This window comes from Homo sapiens, chromosome 1 (assembly GCF_000001405.40).
Source record: "Homo sapiens chromosome 1, GRCh38.p14 Primary Assembly".
Taxonomy (NCBI): domain Eukaryota; kingdom Metazoa; phylum Chordata; class Mammalia; order Primates; family Hominidae; genus Homo; species Homo sapiens.
Window position 1 is genome coordinate 236827601 of NC_000001.11, and position 21534 is coordinate 236849134.

The 21534-nt window shown below is 39.7% G+C and overlaps 1 protein-coding gene across 13 annotated transcripts in view, besides 1 other annotated feature; it reads left to right on the top strand.

Annotated features, from left to right (window-relative positions):
• The window catches only part of MTR (5-methyltetrahydrofolate-homocysteine methyltransferase), a 108701-nt gene that overhangs the window by 32320 nt on the left and 54847 nt on the right, over positions 1-21534 (top strand). For 12 of the 13 annotated variants that reach the window (NM_001291939.1, XM_047421186.1, XM_005273141.6 and 9 more), the window contains 4 exons: positions 1589-1668; positions 4366-4478; positions 7947-8087; positions 10814-10999. In NM_001291939.1, coding sequence (NP_001278868.1) covers positions 1589-1668; positions 4366-4478; positions 7947-8087; positions 10814-10999 — 520 coding nt within the window. The remainder of the gene's footprint in view (positions 1-1588; positions 1669-4365; positions 4479-7946; positions 8088-10813; positions 11000-21534) is intronic. The other variant, NM_001291940.2, reaches the window with a different exon arrangement.
• Positions 5989-6283: a silencer, noted in NCBI's record as "tiled region #3741; HepG2 Repressive DNase matched - State 14:Gen5'". NCBI's record gives its function as "represses a minimal TATA promoter and a strong SV40 promoter by Sharpr-MPRA in HepG2 cells {active_cell/tissue: HepG2}" and the evidence as "EXISTENCE:reporter gene assay evidence [ECO:0000049][PMID:27701403]".

A 21534-nucleotide genomic window follows, 5' to 3' on the forward strand; every position in this document is an offset into this window, starting at 1 on the left:
CTCTCATGGAGGGAAAAGACGATAAGACAACAGGTATCTTGAGGTCAGGAGAAGTGTCTTCACATTGCCTGGTACACAGTGGTTGCTTAATTCATGTTTTCAAGTGTGCATATGAAGGAAGGGAGCGAAACAAGCATGACCATGTGTTTAATTCCTTAGAGTTTTATAGCTTATAGGAAGATTGGAATTCAGTGAAATGGAACATTGTTTAGGACTGTTTATATTTGTTTTTTCCCTGGAGTGACTGATGATCATATTTCCAGCCAGTCATCTCACTGTTCCAAGTCTGTTTTCATGTGTGTCATATGTTCACTCTACTGAGTTACCTTGTAGTTCACTGCTTTTGTTGACTGATGTGATAGACTCTTAGTAAATAATATATATATATATTTTTTGGGATGGAGTCTTGCTCTGTTGCCCAGGCTGGAGTGCAGTGGTGCGATCTCGGCTCACTGCAAGCTCCACCTCCCAGGTTCACGCCATTCTCCTGCCTCAGCCTCCTGAGTAGCTGGGACTACAGGTGCCTGCCACCATGCCCGGCTAATTTTTTGTATTTTTAGTAGAGACGGGGTTTCACCTCGTTAGCCAGGATGGTCTTGGTCTCCTGACCTCGTGGTCCGCTCACCTTGGCCTCCCAAAGTGCTGGGATTACATGTGTGAGCCACCGCGCCTGGCCTAAATGATAATTTTAAAAATATCTTGTAAATAATTTCTGAAAGCTGTCAGTAGTTAAATATTGCTTATCTTTGGATCAGCAACTATTTCTTTTTGTTTTGTTTCCTCTTTAAAAAGAGGAGTTGTTTTAAATGTCTGTGTGTATGTTTGTGTATATCTATATTTATATCTGTCTGTATATATGTTTGCTTCTTTTACTTAGACATTCACATTCTAATTTGGGGACAGTAGAGTAGAGCAATTCTTACTGGTCCTGATAAATTTAGTGGAGTAGCCACATTTTTCTGGTTGATCAAAGACATGATTTATTAAAACTGATAATGTTAAAGGGAGTGCGAATGACTAAAACAAATCTTTAAGAGTAATTATTTTGGAGTTTTAGTGCTTTATGTCTATGTACCCTCCCTACTGTGTGTGTGCTGTAGTAAAAACAGATCCACTGGACCTAATTCTCTCCTCTCCTAGCCCCTCTGCTTGTGCCTGCTCCTTCTTGCCAAAGGTGAAATCCTTTTTCTGTTCAAATTTTGAGTAGGAAGCAAGGATTGTGTGTGTGTAGATTTGACAGAGTAAAAGACATCTGTGGATGTGGGGAAGATGGAAGGAAGTTTGCTGTTTGTATTTGTGCAAACTGTCATATAGCTCCAGGTTCATGTCTCAGAAAGTAAAAACAACACAGCCAGTGCATAGCTGATGGGCAGGCACATAAAAGGTACAGTTTATAGATTAATTTTCTGCCTTGTTGAGAAAACTAAAAGGCATGATTGTTGCTGCACACTTGGAAGTAGGTATATAATTATATGTATAGTTATGTTAAATAGACTTAATTTTATAGTTAAAATTAGTTTTGAAATTAGTTTCATTAAATATATTTTATTCTGAATTAATGGATACAATGTTTCCTCTTTCAACTCAGGGAAATTGCTGAAGCTGTGAAAAATTGTAAGCCTAGAGTTCCACCTGCCACTGCTTTTGAAGGACATATGTTACTGTCTGGTGAGTCATAAAGACCTGGTATTCCTGATTGCAGAAACCATTTGTGGAGTGTGAGTATTCTAAGTGGTAGTGATGTTTGTGCTAGGCAGCTTGCTTATTAGGTCGAAGAAGAATCCATATATTCTTGGCGCTTAAATGAATTCTAGTGAAGAACCCTTTGTTTTTCCAGGGCTGGGGCAAGATGACGTCAACTTTAGGGTAAAAGTGAAGGAAGGCCCAGGTGATTTGCCCAGGTAGAGTCCTTGGTGGGAGCTCGATGGTCCTATCTTTATTGTCCACTGTTTTGAAAACATACTCTTGGCCACAGCCTAACAATTTTAATTTTCAGGTTGATACTAGTTACTGAAAATTCCAAACTGCCAAGGTGTAATGTTTGGTGATGGCAGCAGCATCTTCCTAGAAAATTGTTTCTAAAATATTCTTGTTGTAATCTTACATTTGCCACATGTTTAGGACTTTACAAAGACTTGTGGTATGTATTTTCTCTTTGGTTCTCAACAATCCTTTGAGGTGGGTAGCCTCCCTTTTTCAGCATGAATTTTGTGTTGAAACAAGGACCGTTAGTAAACTAGGTCATCAGGCCAATTGTTAGAAAAATAACTTTAAATTTCATATTTTTGCTTCAGTATGTTCATGATGTATTAAATGGTAACTTTAAGCAGAAAAAGTATGATTTTTAGAGAACCTGCAAATAACACATATGAGGAATTATGTTCCCTAATAGCTTAGAATTTAACATCTCTCTGAATTGAAATATTTTTGTTTTGTATATTGTCCTATGAAAAGTAAAATAAATTACGAATGACAGCAAAAGTAGTGTCCACTTTTCTCACTCAGAACATAGCACAGAATTAATCCCAATCAGTGAGTGTGAAGTTGGGTTAACACATACGAACTATATTCAGGCTAGCCCTTTATTTTTTTTTTTAATACTCCAGAAGGTAGAGGATGAGATTAGGAAAAGTGGGATTCATGGTTTATGATACTCCCTCTCTGGAAATAGTGGCTTTTATCAGAGAGAGGTGTGGCAGGAAAATTTATTTATTTCATCCCTGAAACTTAGTGCATTACTTCAGCCAAGCACTAAGAGTGGAAAACATTCAGCCTTTGCCAAAATTGAAACAAGAGAGCCATTTACATAAGATTAAAAAAAATAATTTATATGTAAGAATAAAAGAATTTTTTCTTCAATTTGAATGTCGTACGCTATTGCTAAATTGCTTTAAACAATCACCTTCCATCAGATTTTAAAAGAGTGACATCAAATGTGCTGTTTAAAATTGTTCTTTTATAAATCACAAACTTGAGAGAAGTGTGATCTTTGTATCAAGTACTTCACATTCATAATAGATCATAAGTACTTTGTGTGAGATGCTTTTGGCGGAGGAGTCACACAGAAATGTCAGCATTGAAATGTTGGCTCCCTGCTTGCCTGTCCTGGGAACCTCAGGGTCAGACTAGGATCGGGCGTACCCTGCGACTAGCTTGGAAGGCTGGGGCCATGAGGATCATTGCCAGATGGAAGAGAAATCATAAGCCAGTACCGTGCATGGAAAGCGATAATCTCTATCAGTGCACCAAGGGGCCTGGAATGCTTTTGTCATGACCCAGTTTATAGTCATTATTTTTCTCTGCCTCATATCTGTTTCTTCCTCAGCTCATGCTTTGGCAAAGGTCTCAAAAGCCATTTTCTTTTATTAACAATGAAAGCAGTGATTATGGGTGCTAATTCTGTGCCTGTCAATGTTATTCAGTTTCATTTTTACAATAACAGTATAAAGCAGACACTTTACTGTCTTTGTAAACTCAGAGGCATATGGGAAGTTGCCCCAAGGTTGTTCATTCAGGTAAGTGATTTGAACCCAAGGCCGTCTGTACCCAGAACCTGCCTATAACCATCTAATGAGACTGCCTCTCCTAATACTTTAAATGTAATGAATAGAACAAAAACAGTTCAGAGCCTTTTCTGTAGTGATACTTTACACTGTATGTTTTTACTTCAGTGTGATATATCCACATGTATTATCTGATATTTGCCCCTAAATTGGCCAGTGGCAGGGGAGATGTTATTATGTTGGTGGATAAGGAAACAGGCACCAGAAGTCCACCTGGCTTACCTAGAGTCAGCTCATTAGTGATAGACCTGCCACAGTGACTCCTGTCTCTCAGGTCTCAACCTGGATCCCTGATTCAGCCTTGTTGATTATGGGTTCTAGGCCTCTGAATCAAAGAAATGAAGTAATGTTGTAAACACACCATTGGTGGGATTAAAAAAGCTTACTCCATATAGCTTTAAGCTAACATCTGAGCAGACAGCTGTGGAGCACCCCTCTTTCAATTCTAACTTTGTCCATGGTTTTTGCCTCAGCCTCTTGGTTAAATAGGGGTTGATGATTATTTTTCCTTTTTTCTCAGAGATGGTATGATTTGGTCCTTTAGGTTATTTGCAACATAAAACTCTGAAATATTTCTTCTTTTGAGAGTTATGGTTGTAAATGTAGTTGTAACAAATAGCCTTTACTGCATTTGAATCTCCCTAGAGACGACTATGGCCCTGTTTCCACATTGGATCTCCTATCTGCTCAGATGGGCTATGGTGCAGGAACTTCTCTTTCTTATTGAATACATTTGTGTCTGTCTGTCTCATGTCATCCATATGCATTTGCAGAAATTTTTCAAAATGCTTCTCCTTTTAAGGTCTAGAGCCCTTCAGGATTGGACCGTACACCAACTTTGTTAACATTGGAGAGCGCTGTAATGTTGCAGGATCAAGGAAGTTTGCTAAACTCATCATGGCAGGAAACTATGAAGTGAGCATCTTAATAAGACCCCTGAGGCATCTGCCCATGTCTTTGGCTAGACAGCATGTAAATGAAACAGCTCTCTGCCTTTGATAGTGTTATTAGCAGAGCTGCTAGAAAGTGTGAGAAGATGGTAATGTGTGTTTGCAGCAGACTGGGCTGGTGGGAGGACGAGGCTTTGAAAAATTGAAGCTGCTGTTGTCAATATTTGTTAAAAAGTACTGCATTTGGTGTATGAAGTAGGATGAGATGGGAGGGATCCAGGTTCTAGCTATTTCTATTAATCATGAAATAAGTTAAAAAATTTGAGAGGCTTTTTATTTTGTCTTCTCACAAATCCTTCTAGGGAAAGGGAAAGACAAGAAAATTCCTGTCAGTTCCTTATGATCGCATCAAACGCTGACTGTTGAGGGTATTATGGATCTTGTTAGCTGTAGACTAAAATAAACAAACAAAAGAAATAGGCCCTTGCCTTGGAAAGTTTATGTGATAGTTTTAGCCATGGTGTTTTTAAGCTCAGTCACTCTGTGGATGAGCAAAATTTAATACATACAGAGCATACCTAAGACTCCTGGATAGATTTTCCTATGAAAATATGAATTTAAAAATGGAGGAATTTTGCCTGGGCCTTAATGATAATTAACTTTATCATCCAACTTTCCTCACTTTTTTGCAACCTTTAGGAGATCTTCCAGAAACCAGTACCAGAGCTGATTTAGTTTTCATAACAAGGAAAGGACCATTTATTCCCCTTCATGGACCTGTTCATTATTACCTGATGGCATCCCTGGAGGCGTGTCTTCCTTCCCAGTCCCTCAGCTGACACATTAGCAGGGCCTGGTTGCCCAGTTTCACCACTTCCTCTGTTGGTCCTCTTCCCCTCATTCTTGCTGCTGTCCAGTGCTCCTGTATGCATCCATCATGGGCCTTCCCAGTTTGGAAATTCCACAGGGTGACTTTTTTTTGTGTATGGGATAAAACTGAAATTCCTTAGTCTGTCATTCCGTCCTCTTCACTTAGGTATTAAACTGCCCTCCCATCCTGATCTGTCATCTGAACATTCCAGGAGGCTCGCTTCTGACTCTGTGCCTTTGTTCTTGTTTGCTTCCTTCTGAAGTGCCAGTGACTCTTCCTAGCCATATAGTGTTCTTCAGTTGGCAGTGTTTCTATTATGTTTTGCTTCTTATGCCTATTCTATGGTGTCCCTTTGGTGGATTTGATAGATTTGACACTGAGAGCATTTTAGGAAGAAGCAAACAGGTGGAAGTAATAATATCTATCATTTAATAAGGTCTTTCTATATGCCAGTCACTGTGCTAAGCACTTTATGTCATTACTCATTTAATCATCACAGCCTGGTGGAGATAGGTACTGTGGTTATCCCCATTTTACAGGTGTAGAGATGGAGGCTTGGGGAGGTTAAATGACTTGCCTATTGTTGTACAGCAAGTAAATGATAGAACCCAAGTCTCCCAAGCATGTGCCCTTAACCACTCTGCTATCTCTGCCTAGTGGAAACAGTAGGAGGGGGCAGTAGAAACAGGAAGGGACAGGTGACTCTTCATTAGAGTCTAGCTCTTATGACTTAATGATCCCTTTGTGGTTTAGTGGAAAGAACATTGACCTGAAAGAAGTTCCAGTCCTATGTTCTTGCCCAACTCATACATCTTTAAACAAACCACTTCATCTCTCTGAGCTTGTTTGGGAAGGTTAGACTTTGAAGCTGTTATTCCGTGATTCTTAAGAAATAGGTCAGATATTGGCATTTCCGTTTTTGAGGTCTTTTGACCCTGTTGCTTACTATCTTATCTCCTGTCTGTTTGCTCCATCCATTCCCCATTAGTCAGCTGAAGATGCTCCCTCTCAGTTAGCTTTCTCCATTTTGGTTTGTAGAGACCTTTCCCTTTCCTGGATGTTGAGGTCATCTTGGCATTTGACCCACACATTGTATGGCAGTGCCCAGTAGTTTTTTACATGACTGTGACATGTGCCTCCATCTAGATATAAACCCTTCAAGAACCAGGATTGTGATTTACACTTCTTTTTATTCTTTATATTATTTAAATTAGTATTGATACTAGAAAACATTTTTTGATTTACTGACTTAATTAATTGATTTATTTATTTTGAGATAGAGTCTTGCTCTGTCACCCAGGCTGGAGTGCGATGGCATGATCTTGGCTCACTGCAACCTCCATCTCCCAGGTTCAAGTGATTCTCCTGCCCCAGCCTCCAGAGAAGCTGGGACTACGGGCTCATGCCACCAGGCCCAGCTAATTTTTGTATTTTTAGTAGAGATGGAGTTTTGCCATGTTGGCCAGGCTGGTCTTGAACTCTTGACCTCAAGTGATCTGCCTGTCTCGGCCTCCCAAAGTGCTGGGATTACAGGCATGAGCCACCACACCCGGTCCAGATTTACTGAATTTAAGTGTGATCCTTTTTCTCTATGTGGCCTTGGCTCACTACATGTGGTGTTTCCTTGTAGCATATGCCATAGGGTTTCATGCCTGTTCTATCACAATGAGTGCTAAAAGTTTCTATTTTTTTTTTCCTTGGGCTAAAAAAAAATCAAGACAATATCAGCATCTACTATTGATTTTATCCTTGCTTATTTCATTACACTATGAAGTGTACAGTGAAAACTTAAATAAACAAAAAGTCTCTGCCTTGTTACTTAGAAGGTATTATGGAACATGTATATTTTGCCCAGCATTGTTCAGAATGAGAAGTATATAAGACTTTTTGGAACACTTATCCTACAAAATATTCCTTAGACGATCATAAGTGGGAAATGCTGTATTCTGTTTTGGGAAGGTTGCAGTGTGTAATAGTGCATTAAATAATTTGAAAAGCCTTCCAGTGTTATAAAAACCTGCTGAAATTTATTTAAGTCACATTTCTTTTCATGTAACTTCTATTAACAGCCTGCAATGAATACTTTCGGCAGATACTGAAGAGTTATATAGTTTTTGGCAAATACTGAAGAGTTATATCATTTTGGATGGTTTCTCTAAGGACTTTTTTTGGAGGAGATGGGGCTTGAGCTGGGTCTTAAACAATGTGGAAGGGAAAGGGATTGCGTTCCAAGCAGAGGGAACAACGTGATCTGCAGCACAGAGGTGGGAACAGATTTGGCTGGGTGAAGGCTCCAGTCGGGGTGGAATGGGAAGTTCAGCTGGGTAAGAAGATGGGGCCAGCTCAGAGGGCCTTGACTGCCATGCTGAGGGATTTAGAATCTTTATGGTAGGAAAACAGCTTTGGTGGATTCTAAGCAGTGAGATGATGTGATGGAAGAGATGTGTAAGAAAGGTTAATTTGTGATGAGTGATGGGTGGACAGCAGGCCCGGAGTCAGGGAGTCTGGCGAGGTAGTCTGTGTAATTTGAAGGATTGCTGGGAAGGGTAAGGAATTACCTCATTAGCCTTTTCTCCTAGTAACTGTCTCCTAATGCTGCTTCCTCTCTCATTCTTCCTTCAGGAAGCCTTGTGTGTTGCCAAAGTGCAGGTGGAAATGGGAGCCCAGGTGTTGGATGTCAACATGGATGATGGCATGCTAGATGGTCCAAGTGCAATGACCAGATTTTGCAACTTAATTGCTTCCGAGCCAGACATCGCAAAGGTTATACAAAGTTTATGTTTATCAGGGGGATTTACTTGTCTCACTTTGACACTCATTTAACCGTGCCAGTTGTCCCATTAATCTGTGAACTCAAGAACTGGTTTTCTGTTTCTCAACATCGAAAACAGGGTAGTTTCTGATTGTCAGCTTTCTCAGATACTGATAACCTTTCCAGATAAAGCAGATCTTGGAGACAGCTGTGGCTTCAGCCTGGCTGTTTCCAAGGCTTCTGGGATTGTTCATGAGAATTGAGTCTCCTCAGATGTCTGGACAGACTAACAACCCACTTTCCATGTATGTGAAGGAAAATCATTGGCTCTATTTCTACCATAGGCAAGGGAACTCAGTGAATTCTTTCTTATAACAGGAAGGAGAGAACTTTTAGGCTTATCAGATTAAGACAAAAATATAAAACAAGATTAAATCAAGAGATTATGTCAGCTTTTACATTTGTTCTTCAAAAGGTGAAAATTGATTTTCGTGTCAGTCTTTTAAACATTTTTAAATGAGTTCTAAAATTAAAAAAAAAATCTTACCTTGTTTTTCTGCCGTTAAGTTTGTTATGAGAAGTGATTTTTTTTTTTCCCCTCCTGAGGCAGGGTTTTGCTCTGTGGCCCAGGCTGGAGTGCAGTGGTGCAATCATAGCTCACTGCAACCTCAGGCTTCTCCCACTTCGGCTTCCTGAGTAGCTGGGACCACAGGCACGCATCATTTAAAAAAAATTTTTAGTAGAGAGGTCGGGTCTTGCTGTGTTCACAGGCTGATTTTGAACTCCTAGTCTCAATCAATCCTCCTGCCTTGGCTTCCCAAAGTGGTAGGATTGCAGTTGTGAGCCATTGTGCCTGGCAGGAAGTGATTTTTGAAGTTCTTCTTTTTTAAAGAAACTTCCTAGTGCTCTAAGAGTTGCATTTTTCAGGTTGAGCTCTTGGTTTTTTTATTAGGCTTCAGCAGATTCAGCAGATTTAAGTTAGAGTCTATGGTAGGTACTGAATTACATTTGTCCATCTTTCATTTGTGTCTTAAAACTCTTTACTAAAAAGTCTTGTCATTCCTCTGGGAGTAAATATTTTGAGAATTTAAGGTACAAAGAAGCAAGACAACTTGTTCAAAGTTAGTTAGAATCAGAGGTATAGCCAATTGTTTATCAGCTTAGTATTGGGAAGAGGGTAGACTCGCCTTGTAAGGCCCAATCAAGTCAATGGACTATTGACCCTACTTTCCTCATCTCTAAAATGGGATCATCAAACCCCCTTTGTGAATTGTAAAGATGCAAGTGCTTTATCAACTGTGAAGGACCCCATGTAACTCAATACATTATTAGTGTTCTGATTGCTACAGTAATTTCTTATCTTTCTTGGTTTTGCCCTACTACCACAACTTATTGGAGGCCAAATTTCTACCCAGGTGGTAAAGCATAAAATCATTTTACCAGCACCTTTTCACCAGTAGGGTTGGGACACCAAACTATCAGCAAGCAAATACAAGCCGATACACTGGCCTGGTGTTGTCATTGCATTTGACCCTTTCCTTAGCAAACCTCTCATTACTAGCATACTAAGAAAAAGCAAAACTGGTAGCGTGCCTTTTCTTTTTTGCTCGTTTGGTGGCGTGGCTTAGGAAATTGCTGACTACTCATTCTTCAGTCCTCAGTTGAAATGTTTCCTGCCCTGGGAAGCTTTCCCTGGATTTTCCTGCCCCATTCTCCATGCTTCATAGACTGGGTGCCCCTGAAATATGCTTCCATGGCAGTCTGTGCTTCTCTTATGCTTTTAGCATTTACTACACTTTATGTCATTACTTGTTTAATTATTTATCTTTATAAACTCAGTGGAGCCAGAGACCTGGCTTTCTTACTGTTTTCCCTGTATGGGCCTAATATGGTAGTCACTTAATTATTTATTGAATGGCTTAATTGAATAATGTGGCCTATGCTGGGAGCTGTGGTATGCACCTGTAGTTGCAGCTACTCAGGAGGCTGAGTGTGGAGGGTCCCTGGAGCTCAGGAGTTCAAGACCAGCCAAGGCAACATAGTTAGACCCTGTCTTTAAAAATATAAAAATAATGCAGCCTAGATCTGTTGCCTCATTTCATTTCTTTGTATCAATCTAATTCTTCAAGCCCTTCCTTTCATCTTTCCTGGAACAGAGGTATGAATTAAAAGGAACCTATTCTCAACTGTGCATTTCAGTTTTGTCCTTTATTTTAGTTATATGCATTTGTTGATAATTAGATCTGCTTTTCCTTTCTAATATTAAAACTCTTTTTTTGTTTTTTTTCAGTAAAGAACTTGATTTTCTAAAGGGAAGGTTGAATTTGAATAACTTGGCTAGAGGGCTGTCCCCAAAGGACACAAGGCTAAACCTTAATCCCTGAGTCAGATCAGGGATGTCTGAATCCTAGCTGAGGTGTTTGCCTCGGGGCTTAGGCGCTTGAAAGTGTACTGCACTGAAGCCAGTGAACTGATCACACTGATTTCATTCTGATGTTCAGCTGTGATCTTTGAGTTGTAAATCCCTGGCCCATGCATGGAGTATCTTGTAAGACTGAAATTACTCCAAGTATTTTGGGCTTAAAGAACAAGTATATTAAAATTCTATCTCTGACATACTACTATTTTTTGTTTATTGTTTTGCTAAAGAAGAAATAGGGAATACTTTGGAGCCTTTGAAAAGTAATTTATAGTGACCTGTGGCCTCTGTGTGATTTTCTTGCCTTTCTGATCTCAGGTACCTTTGTGCATCGACTCCTCCAATTTTGCTGTGATTGAAGCTGGGTTAAAGTGCTGCCAAGGGAAGTGCATTGTCAATAGCATTAGTCTGAAGGAAGGAGAGGACGACTTCTTGGAGAAGGCCAGGAAGATTAAAAAGTATGGAGCTGCTATGGTGGTCATGGCTTTTGATGAAGAAGGACAGGTGAGTGGTTTCTTTTGGCCTAATCCATTGTGTTTCCCAGGTTAGATAGTGGTGGGAGAAAATGCAAGTCTGAAACAGCTACATATATACATACACATATACATTTATCTCTTTCCATATACATTCATGTACATATATGTACACGTATCTGTATACAGTCATACATGATGTGTTACTTAACAATGGAGATATGGTCTGAGAAATACATCATTAGGTGATTTTGTCATTGTGCCAACGTCATAGAGTGTATTTACACCAACCTAGATGGGATAGCCTACTACACACATAGGCTAGATGGTATATATAGTGTGTTGTTTCTATGTTATAAGCTAATATAGCATGTTACCGTACTGAATACTATAGGCAACTATAACACAATGATATGTATTTGTGTATCTAAACGTATCGAAACAGAAAATTTACAGTAAAAATATGGTATTATAACCTTACGGAACCATTGTTGTTTATATGATCCATCATTGACTTAAGTGTCCTTATGTGGTCAATGACTGTATATGAAAATCTGATATATAGTAAAGTCTTTGCATTCATGGAGAAAGGTTGAAGTATTCAATAAATGCTGTTGGGATGACTGGCTGTGCATTTGGAAGAAAATAAACTTAGATTCCCATTTCCAACCATATACTAAAATAAAGTTAGCTATTTGCAACATGAATAATAGCAGTGGGTGAATATTCCTAATACGCAAAGAGTTTATATAAGTCAGAAAGCAAAACACCCCAGTCAACCCAGTAGGAAAATGGACAAAGGAAATAACAATTTATATAAAAAGAACAAATAGCCAATAAACTTATGAGAAGATACTAAGTTTTGTAAACATTAAAGAAATAAAAAGTAAAGAAATAATGAGATTAGTTTCCTTTATCAAATAGAAGAAAAAATTAGAAGATTGATAAATGGCAGTCTTCATAATAGCTCTGCCATAGAATCAGGGTGGGGCACATGGGAAGCTTCAAATATAATGATCGTTCATCTCTGTGATACACTGATTATTGTCATGTTTTATACTTCACATAACTTTGTATGAATATTTTGGTACCTATTTAAAACCACTAAAAAATCTATTTCTTATGATTAAGCCCTTCCTGGGAATCTAGTAATAAGGTTGAGTGTATAAGGATATGTGTTCACATTTATTGTAGCATTGTGGTAGCAAAAAGCTGAGAACACTAAATGTCCATTACTAGGGCAATGCTTAAACTTGGTCCTTACTACATAGAATACTGTGCAGCAGTTAAAAAGAATCAGGAGATGGAACCATGTCTTCAGTATATTGAAAAATGAAAAAAATGAGTGACATGATCCCAACTTAATATAAAAGTACTTACATTTACATATGTTTGTCTGCATAAGCAGAGAAAAGAATTTGATGGTTGTCAACTGGGTGGGGTAGGGATGATCTGAGATGGGGGTGGTCTCAAATGGGGACATACTGACAATGAACAAGTAGTAGGATTGTATGTACTTTTTCTTTCTGTCTTTGTTTTGTATTTTTGGAATGAAATTGTTTTTAAATGCATTTTTTGTATGAAAGATACATTTTCTTCATTGTGAAAAAATTCAAATCATCCAGAAGACTGCAAAAGAGAGATAGTTTTGATCATTAACATATATTGAACCTTAATTCACACCAAGCAAGTACACAACACACATTAAATCAGTTCTTCTTCCAAGCATATAAACTGTGGGTATGTATTCTTGTTATTTTTGAATGTCTTGTGAGGAAACTAAAGCACAGAGATGTCCCAGGACTTGGCGGTTGTCACACAGCTAACAGTTTGCAGTGCTGGGATTCAGGCCTAGGAGATCTGGTTTCATTCATCAGGGCCTGTGCTAAATGGTCGAGTGAAGAGGCTGTCAGGGAAGAGTTGGCCTGTTCAGAACAGGTGGTCTTATAAGACCCCTCTGAGGAGGCAACATTTGAAAACCAGAATAAAATGAGAGAGGAAGCCACATGGCCACGTGGAGAAAGAGCAAACGAGGTTTCAGCAAATGAAAAGTTTTGTATAAACGAGATTATACCTGGTATTCTGTAACTCTTTTCCCCTGCTCAACATAATGTTGGCATTTTCCCATATTAGTGGATTAAAACTCCATGTTTTCTGGTTGCATTGCATTCCAGTATGTTTTACTTACTATTATTGAATGAAATTGTGTTTCTAATTTTTTAGTAGCATGAACAGTTCAGTGGCCAATGAATATCCTAATTCATGCAGCGATTTCCCCTTCTAGAATGATTTTTTTAGAGTCAGTTCATTGGAGTGGGATTGCTATGTCAAAGAGTGTACACATTTACTATTTTGAGGCACGTTGTTAAAATTGTCCATCTGAAAAGTTGTTATCATCCACTACAAGTTTAGTGTGGTGTGGGACCTTTTGATAATTGTATTTTCTGCAAATAGTTAGACAAATAGTTCCGTAAACAAAAAGAAAAAAGCCTTCAGCCTTCTAGATCCTGAGGCACCCACGTTCAGCTTTTTAAGCTGATTCTTGTAGCATCTACCTCTTTATCTTCAAATTCCAGTTTTAGTTTTTATTTATTGACTTCCTACAGTGATTAAAGATTTTTTAGCTTTTCACCATCCACTGCCCTGACTCTGTACAGCTTTACTTTTATCCTTCCCAATATAGTTCATTTTAGCTATAATCGTTTTCAGTGCTTACATTATTAAACAGTGTAAAAGCTGAGCCATGCAGTAGTATACTGTGATTGCTTATCCTTTCTCACTCTTTATTTGTTTTCTATGAAGGTAATATTTATCTTTTTGTTTGCATTGTTTTCTATGTATTTCGCCTTCAGATTGTCCCCTAGTTGTATAAATCTCAAGTATCCAATGTAGCCAGACACATTAAGAGGACTGTCATACTACTTTTTTGAAGAATTCTCCCTCCAAGTCTTCTGACATGAGCTGGAAGTAGGCCAGCTGCACAGCTGTGACTGCTAGCTGTCCCTTACCTTCCTCCTGGGGTTCCATTGCCTTTCTCTTAGGTTTTTAGAACTCATAATTTCCAAATTCTTGGTTAATCTTTTTTTTTTTTTTAGTCATTTGGTAGAGTGCATTCTCTGATAGCTTCTTGTGAAAGAAAACATGGCAGTAAATATTTTTGAAACCTTACGTGTCAGAAAATGGCCGTATTCTACTTTTACACTTAATTGGCAGTTGCATGGGCATAGGAGTACAAACTTGAAGTTGTTCTGTGTTTTGAAAGTACTGCTCCATTGTCTTCTCATTCCCACTGGTATTAGTAAGAAGTCCAGTGCTATTCTAACTCTTTTTTTTTTTTTTTTTGAGACGGAGTCTCGCTGTCGCCCAGGCTGGAGTGCGGTGGCGCGATCTTGGCTCACTGCAGGCTCCGCCCCCCGGGGTTCACGCCATTCTCCTGCCTCAGCCTCCCGAGTAGCTGGGACTACAGGCACCCGCCACCTTACTCGGCTAATTTTTTGTATTTTTAGTAGAGACGGGGTTTCACCGTGTCAGCCAGGATGGTCTCGATCTCCTGACCTCGTGATCCGCCCGCCTCGGCTTCCCAAAGTGCTGGGATTACAGGCGTGAGCCACCGCGCCCGGCTGTGCTATTCTAACTCTTGATTATTTTTGTGAAACTTGTTTTTCTATTCTCTGGAGGCTTTGGGAATCTTTTGTGTTCACCGTGTTCTGAACTCCCGCGATGATGAGCCATCCATTATGCTGGCACTCAGTAGGCCTTTCATTTGTGAAACTCACAGCTGCAGTGGTAGGAAGTGTCCTTGAGTTGTTTTCTTTTCTTTTTTGGTACATATATTATTGAGATATTGAATGTTTTGGACAGGTTGCCTAATTTTCTTATATTTCTTTCCTGTTTTCCAACTCTGGTGTTTTGCTCTGCATCGGGTGAGATTTTCATATCTACATTTATCCTCCAAACCGTCTATTGAGTTTTATTTCTTCTTTTTCCTGAAGGTCTTTTTTTGTTATCTGAATGCTCCTTTTAAAAATATATATAGCAACTGTTACTTTTTAATGAAGCAAATATCTTCAAATATATCCTGAGCACTTAGTATGTGCCAGGCCCTATCCCTATTCTAATCTCTGAGGAGACAACGGAGAATAAAACCTAGTCCCTGTCCTTGCACGATTTATATTCTTAGGGACAAAGGGAATAACAAATTTAAAAAAAAAAGATGTATATATATATATATAATTGGCCAGGTGCAGTGGCTCACACCTGTAATCCCAACACTTTGGGAGGCTGAGGCAGGCAGATCACCTGAGTTCAGGAGTTCGAGAGTAGCCTGGCCAACATGGTGAAACCCCGTCTCTACTAAAAATACAAAAATTAGCCAGATGTGGTAATGTATGCCTGTAATCCTAGCTACTGGGGAGGCTGAGGCATGAGAATTGCTTGAACCCAGGAGACTGAGGTTGCAGTGAGGTGAGATTGCACCACTGCACTCCAGCCTGAGTGACAGAGTGAGACTCTGTCTCCAAAAAAAAAAAAAAAAAAGTGTGTGTGTATATACACACGTTGAATGGTGTTGAATACGGTAAAGGGAAAAGAGGATTTGATCCCCCCTCAGCATGGAGGTGGGGGAATGTTATTTTATGTAGGATAGTTTGGGAAGGCCTCATGGATGATGTGACATTTTAGCAGAAGCCTAGGTGAGCCATGTGAAAATGTAGGGGAAGAGTGTTCTTTGCAGAGGGAATCTTGAGGTAGATAGATGCTTGTCCTGTTTGAAAACCAACAGGGAAGCCAGAGTAGCTGGAGCAGAGGGGAGAGGAGGAGATTGGGAAGATACAAGGTTGGAAAGGTGGCAGATCAAATCACATAGGGCCTTGGAGGCCATTCCTAACACTTTTGGTTAACATTGTTACTCAGAGTGAGTGGGGACACCACTGAAAACTTTTGAACAGAGGAGCGAATATGATCTGACTTATGTTTAAACCTCTCTGGTTCTTTGTGGAGAATGGTCTGTTAGGGCCAAAGCAGAAATGTTAGAGTTTATTGCTGTAATTCAGATGAGATATGGTGATGGTTAGGGCCATGGTGAAAGCAAAAGAGGATGTTAAAAGTCATCTGTTTCTACATATATTTTTAACATAGAGCCAATAGGATTTGTATTCACATTGGGTATAGGTTGTGAAAGAAAGAGGAGTCAGGGATAACTTTAGAATCTGTTGGCTTGGGCAATTGAAAGGAAGGAGCTACTGAGGTAAGAAAGACTGAGAAGCAGGTTTGGGATGGGGTAAGGAGAAGTTTGGGTTTGGACTTAGTATGTGGTGGGTATGTCGAGTGTGCAGTTGTGCAAATGAGTGGATTTCATGGGCAAAGTCTGGCTTGAAGATAGGATTCCTTTTTTTGGGAATTATTTGTACATGCTATTTAAAATAGTGAGACTGGCTGAGCTCACCAAAGGAATGACTGTAGAGAAGTCCTAGGACTAAGTGAGTCTTAGAGCCACAGTGCTTAGGGCACTGGGGAGAAGAGGAAACACCATCAGAAGGATATGAGAAGGAGCAGCCTGTATGGTAGGAGGGGAGTCAGAAGAGAGAGTTCCCTTGGAAGCCAAGTGAAGAACAATCATCAAAGAAAAGGGCATGTTCAGCTGTTTAAAGAGTTGTAGATAGATCAAGTGGGATGAGACCAAGAGTTTACCGTTGGATTTAGAAATGGGGTCATTTGTGATCTTGCTGTACTGTTTCCAAGGAGATGAAAACTTTATTGGAGTGGGTTCAAGAGAGAATAGGAGAAGAATAGAAGCAGCAGTATAGGCAACTTTTTACAGTTCTGCCATAAGGGGAGCAAAAAAATAGGGTGGAAACCAGGGGGGAAATACGAGGTTCAGAAAGGGCGTGTGTGTGTGTGTGTGTGTGTGTGTGTGTGTGTGTGTGTGTGTGTGTGTAGATGCTGTGACAACATGTTTTTGTAAGCTAATGAGAATGATCTGGGAGAGAGAGGGAGGAACTGATGCAGGAGATAAAGGATACATTTGCCAGAGCCATGACCTTGTGAGTTGAGAGAGATGGCAGTCACTGTGTGAGTGGAGGGGTGGCTTTAGATCAGTAGCTGGACAGTTTGCTCAAAGTACAAAAGAGAAGGCAGAGTAAAGAGTGCAGATCTGCAGGCATGCTGGTTGATGTGCTGGCGGGAGTCTATAATTGCTTCTGTTTTCTCAGTGAAGTTGGAAGCAAGGTCAACTCAGAGTGAGAATGGAATGTTGTGCCTTAGGGATCTGTGGTGCTTAACTAGGAGTGCAAAGCAGACTCACTCTGACAGGGAAGGCAGTCACTGCTGGAGCTTTTGAAAAATCGTACACACTCCTGGACTTCAGCCCTTGAGTTTTGACTCATTTGGTCTGGGATGAGGCCTGGCTTTAGACATTTTAAAGCCTTGGAGGTGATTCTCATGTATCTTTTGGTTGAAAACCACCAGCAGAGGTTATTTCGTTTAGTCTTCAGAGTGACCACCGAGGTGGCGGCCATTGCATTTTACAGTGGACCAGTGTCATATCTAGGACATGGTGGAACCAAGTTTTTACCTTTGGTCTTCCTCATTTGAAGACTGGTGTATGTTTCCACATCCTGTGTTTACTCTGTGCTTTGTTTATTGGCACTGCTTAGTGCTTGGTCTTGTCTAAGGATAGGTTTTCCCAATTTAGACTTAACTGTGACCACAAATTAAAAGCAAATGTAGGAAAAAAAATTAACTTGCTAGTTATGAAAGATATACAAATTAGAGCAGCATTAAGGTAATGTTTTATCCCTACTAAATTAGTAAAGTAAAAAATGGTCAAGGTCTGTGTAGATACAGCAGTGATAAAACTGAAGGCTCATTTGTTGCAGAGTGTAGTATAAACTGGTACAGTCCTATTGAAAGAGAATATAATGCCTGTCAAGAGACAAAAAATTGTTTATACCCCTTGAGTTCATAATCTTATTTCTGGGAAATTATTCCAACAAAAGAATTCAACAGCATAAGGATACTGTATATGCCGAGATTTTACACCAACATTATTGAAAATGTAACAGCCCAAGTGCCCAACTGAAGAGAAATAGATAGGTAACATAATTTTACTGGACTATTCTCCAGAGTATTTAAATATTATGCAGATTATGGAGCAGCATGTATGCTCACTGTCAAATTGTCATAAATATTGAAAATTATAAAAAGCAAAGCAAAAATCCTGTATACTTTCAAAGTTAAGAAGCCAGCAATACAGGTATTTTTATATAAAGGCATGTTTTCTGTTGATTGAGTTCTCATAATGCTATTGGATGTAGCAATCAGTTAAGAACCGGGATTTGCTTTGCTTGGATTGACACCACTGATTATAGGGGAAAAAAACAACTCCCTCAAATGGGAAACTACTGTTGCGACTAAGCAAGGCACACCAGCTTTGTTTCAATATCTGGCTGCTGTGTTTGAGTGTTTGGTTAATGTCTGTGATCCATGTTGCAAACACAACTGCAAGGTCAAGACCAGATATGACAGGAGGCTGGGCCTGAGACTTCTGGATTGAAAGGCAACAAGAAAACATTTCTATGTTTTTTGTTGTTGCTAATAGTTTTGACCAACTGTTATTCTTAACTCTACATAACAAGATACAGGACACCTTTATTATTGAAATTTCTATGGGACAAGTATACTGACTCTAGATTTAGTTCTCTTTTTCTAAATGAAATGATTTTTAATTTTTTTCATATAATCCTTAGGTTCACAAAAATGACTTTGTATGACAATTTTTGATAACGTGAAGTGTCTTAGAAATATAATTATCACATAATAGCAGAATAGTCTATATTAGTTTTTGTTTGCACATGTGTAAACTATATAAAAGAATAATCAATATATGCAACACATTTTCCTGTTTTTTTCATTTTCTTGTTTTAAAATGATTTGAAAATAAATTTCTAATTATGGAGAACCATTGGATCTTGATTAATATCTAATTAATCCTAACCTGGAAAATAACAAGGAATTGGTATCTTGCCAGTGTTTAGATTTGTCATTGAGGAACATGGCGTGTCTTTCAATTACTCATTCAATGGAGTTTTGTAATTATCCCTAAATAGGCAATCTCTAGATCATTCCTGTGTGTTTTGTTTGTTGTTTTTATTGTAATTGGCTTATTTTTTCTTTGGTAAATTTTTTCCCTTTGGTATTGATTTTTAGATTTTTTCCCTTGGAAACTTCCTTTTCTTCAGTGTTTCCCTTCCTACTTGTCAGTGTCTCTCTTGAAAGGCACAAACATCCGTTTCCATCACTTCTGTTTTTTTTGTTTTTGTTTTTGTTTTTGTTTTTTTGAGATCAAGTCTCACTCTGTCGTGCAGGCTGAAGTGCGGTGGCGTGATCTCAGCTCACTGCAACCTCCGCTTCCCGGGTTCAAGCAATTCTCCTGACTCAGCCTCCCAAGTAGCTGGGACTACAGGCCTTTGCCACCACAACTGGCTAATTTTTGTATTTTTAGTAGAGATGGGTTTTCACCATGTTGGCCAGGCTGTTCTCGAACTCCTGACCTCAGGTGATCCACCTGCCTCAGCCTCCCAAAGTGCTGGGATTACAGATGTGAGCCATTGTACTGGGCCGGGCCACTTCTTTTTTTAATTACAGCCCCAGGATGGGCCTCTGCTTCCTCCAGGGTTCTCTCGCCCATCTTCAACTACTTCAGTTCGATTTTAAAACTTTAACTCACCTCTGAAGTTAGCCCTGTTCGATCTCTGCTCCTTGTCAGACTACATTAAAGAATCTAGATGTCTTCTACACATTGTCCTTCTCTTCCTCACAGTGTCTGCCTTGATGACCAAATCAAAAATTGTTTTATTGCATTACTGCCTGAGTGTGTGATATTTTAGCAGAATCTGAGCCATGAGCTTCTTAAGTAAAGCCTTCTACTCACTGGTCACAGTCTAGCTTCTCTATGGCTTAAGAGTAAACCTGTTTGATAAAGCTATAAATGGCATTTATTCCTTCCTTCTTGCTGCTTAGAATCTCACTGAGTTTTTCTTCTACTCCAACTGAAGAAGGTGCCACATCTCACCTGTTGGTGGTTCTCACCTGGCTTTATATTAGCATCACTAAGGGGCTTTTACAAAACACTTGCTGAGACCCCATCTCCAGATTCTGATTTAACTGGTTCAGGGTGAGGTGTTACTATTATAAAAAACAAGCAAACAGAAATCCCTCCAGGGTATTGTAATGTGCAACCAGAGTTGAAAGCCCTTCCTGATGGAGTAAAGCTGCCATTCCGTTGTTTTACTGAACTTCTATTCTGGATCTCTGAAATCCACCAGCACGATTGAGGCTTTATTAGTGTGTCTGTCCCACAGCCCTGGTGAGGAGTAAGACAGAAGCTTGGTGAACCTTACGTGATATGAGATATGACCTGCTCCTGACAAAGGCCTGTACACCAATGCCGTGTTCACTCTGAGAGTCATTGTTTAATCAAGTGACAGAGGTTGAGTATCTGTTAATGTGGCACAGATACTGTGCTAGACGCCATGAGAACAATTTGACAAGGGCTTCATCCTTATGGAGGTTAGAGTTGATGACTCTGTTTTGGTTCTAGAAATGAATTCCTGTCCTGTGAGGATGCACCTGCTTGTCCCACAAGCAGGGCTGTCTTTGGTATACAGCTGGGCCCTACACCCTACTCTCCTGTGGGTAACATACTGTTCACTTCAACCTGCCCTGCTTGGCCAGATAATATTCATGGCTCAGATGAGGAATGACCAGGACCTTGACTTCTTCATCTACCAACCAGACTAGGTTACTCAGTAATACTAGTAGCATTGGTCGCCCCTGTGCCTTCTCTCTTAGTGAGCTTAGATGAGCCATGAACCTAGAGCCTAGAACTCTATTGGGCTGTCTGGTGAAGGGTAGACTTTAAAAGTTCAAGCCTAAAGGCAGCTGCAAATGGGCTGTTTCTGACCAGTTTTTTCTGACATACATCTCAGTCTCAACCTTAACCTTTTCACTCTAACTGAAGGCAGAGGAAGTAAGCATTGAGAAAATTCCATTAAGGAAGACGAAAGCTCGCCACCTTCCCTAAAGCCTGGGTGCAGTGAGGCCACAGAGACCACTTCCTGTCTCCCTTTCCCTGGGCCATTTTGTCTGCTAAGTCCTGGAGGCACTTCCCTCCCAAGTAGAGGTGAAGTCTCACCCCACCAGCTGCAGAGAGCGATTAAAGAGACCAAAGAAAACAGTTGAAAAAGAATACCAAAGTAGTAAGTGATCAAAAGGCTAGATCTAAGAGAGAGTTCTTTTCATAATTCCCCTACTCCTCATTTCTGTTGTCTAGGGCCTCACTAGATGCACTTGACCTATGTCCGTGTCCCTACCCCCTCATCTCCACAGAAGTCTGCAATATAGATTGCAGTAGGGTTGGCCATTTTTCAAGAACATTTTTCGCGTTCATTGAGAATTGACCTTCAGAATTGTGACTTATTTTTTCTTATCTCTGGAGTGATAGCAAGTAATCATTTTTTAAGAGTAGATTTGATTTTTCATACAACCAGAAATAATTCAGGATGTAAT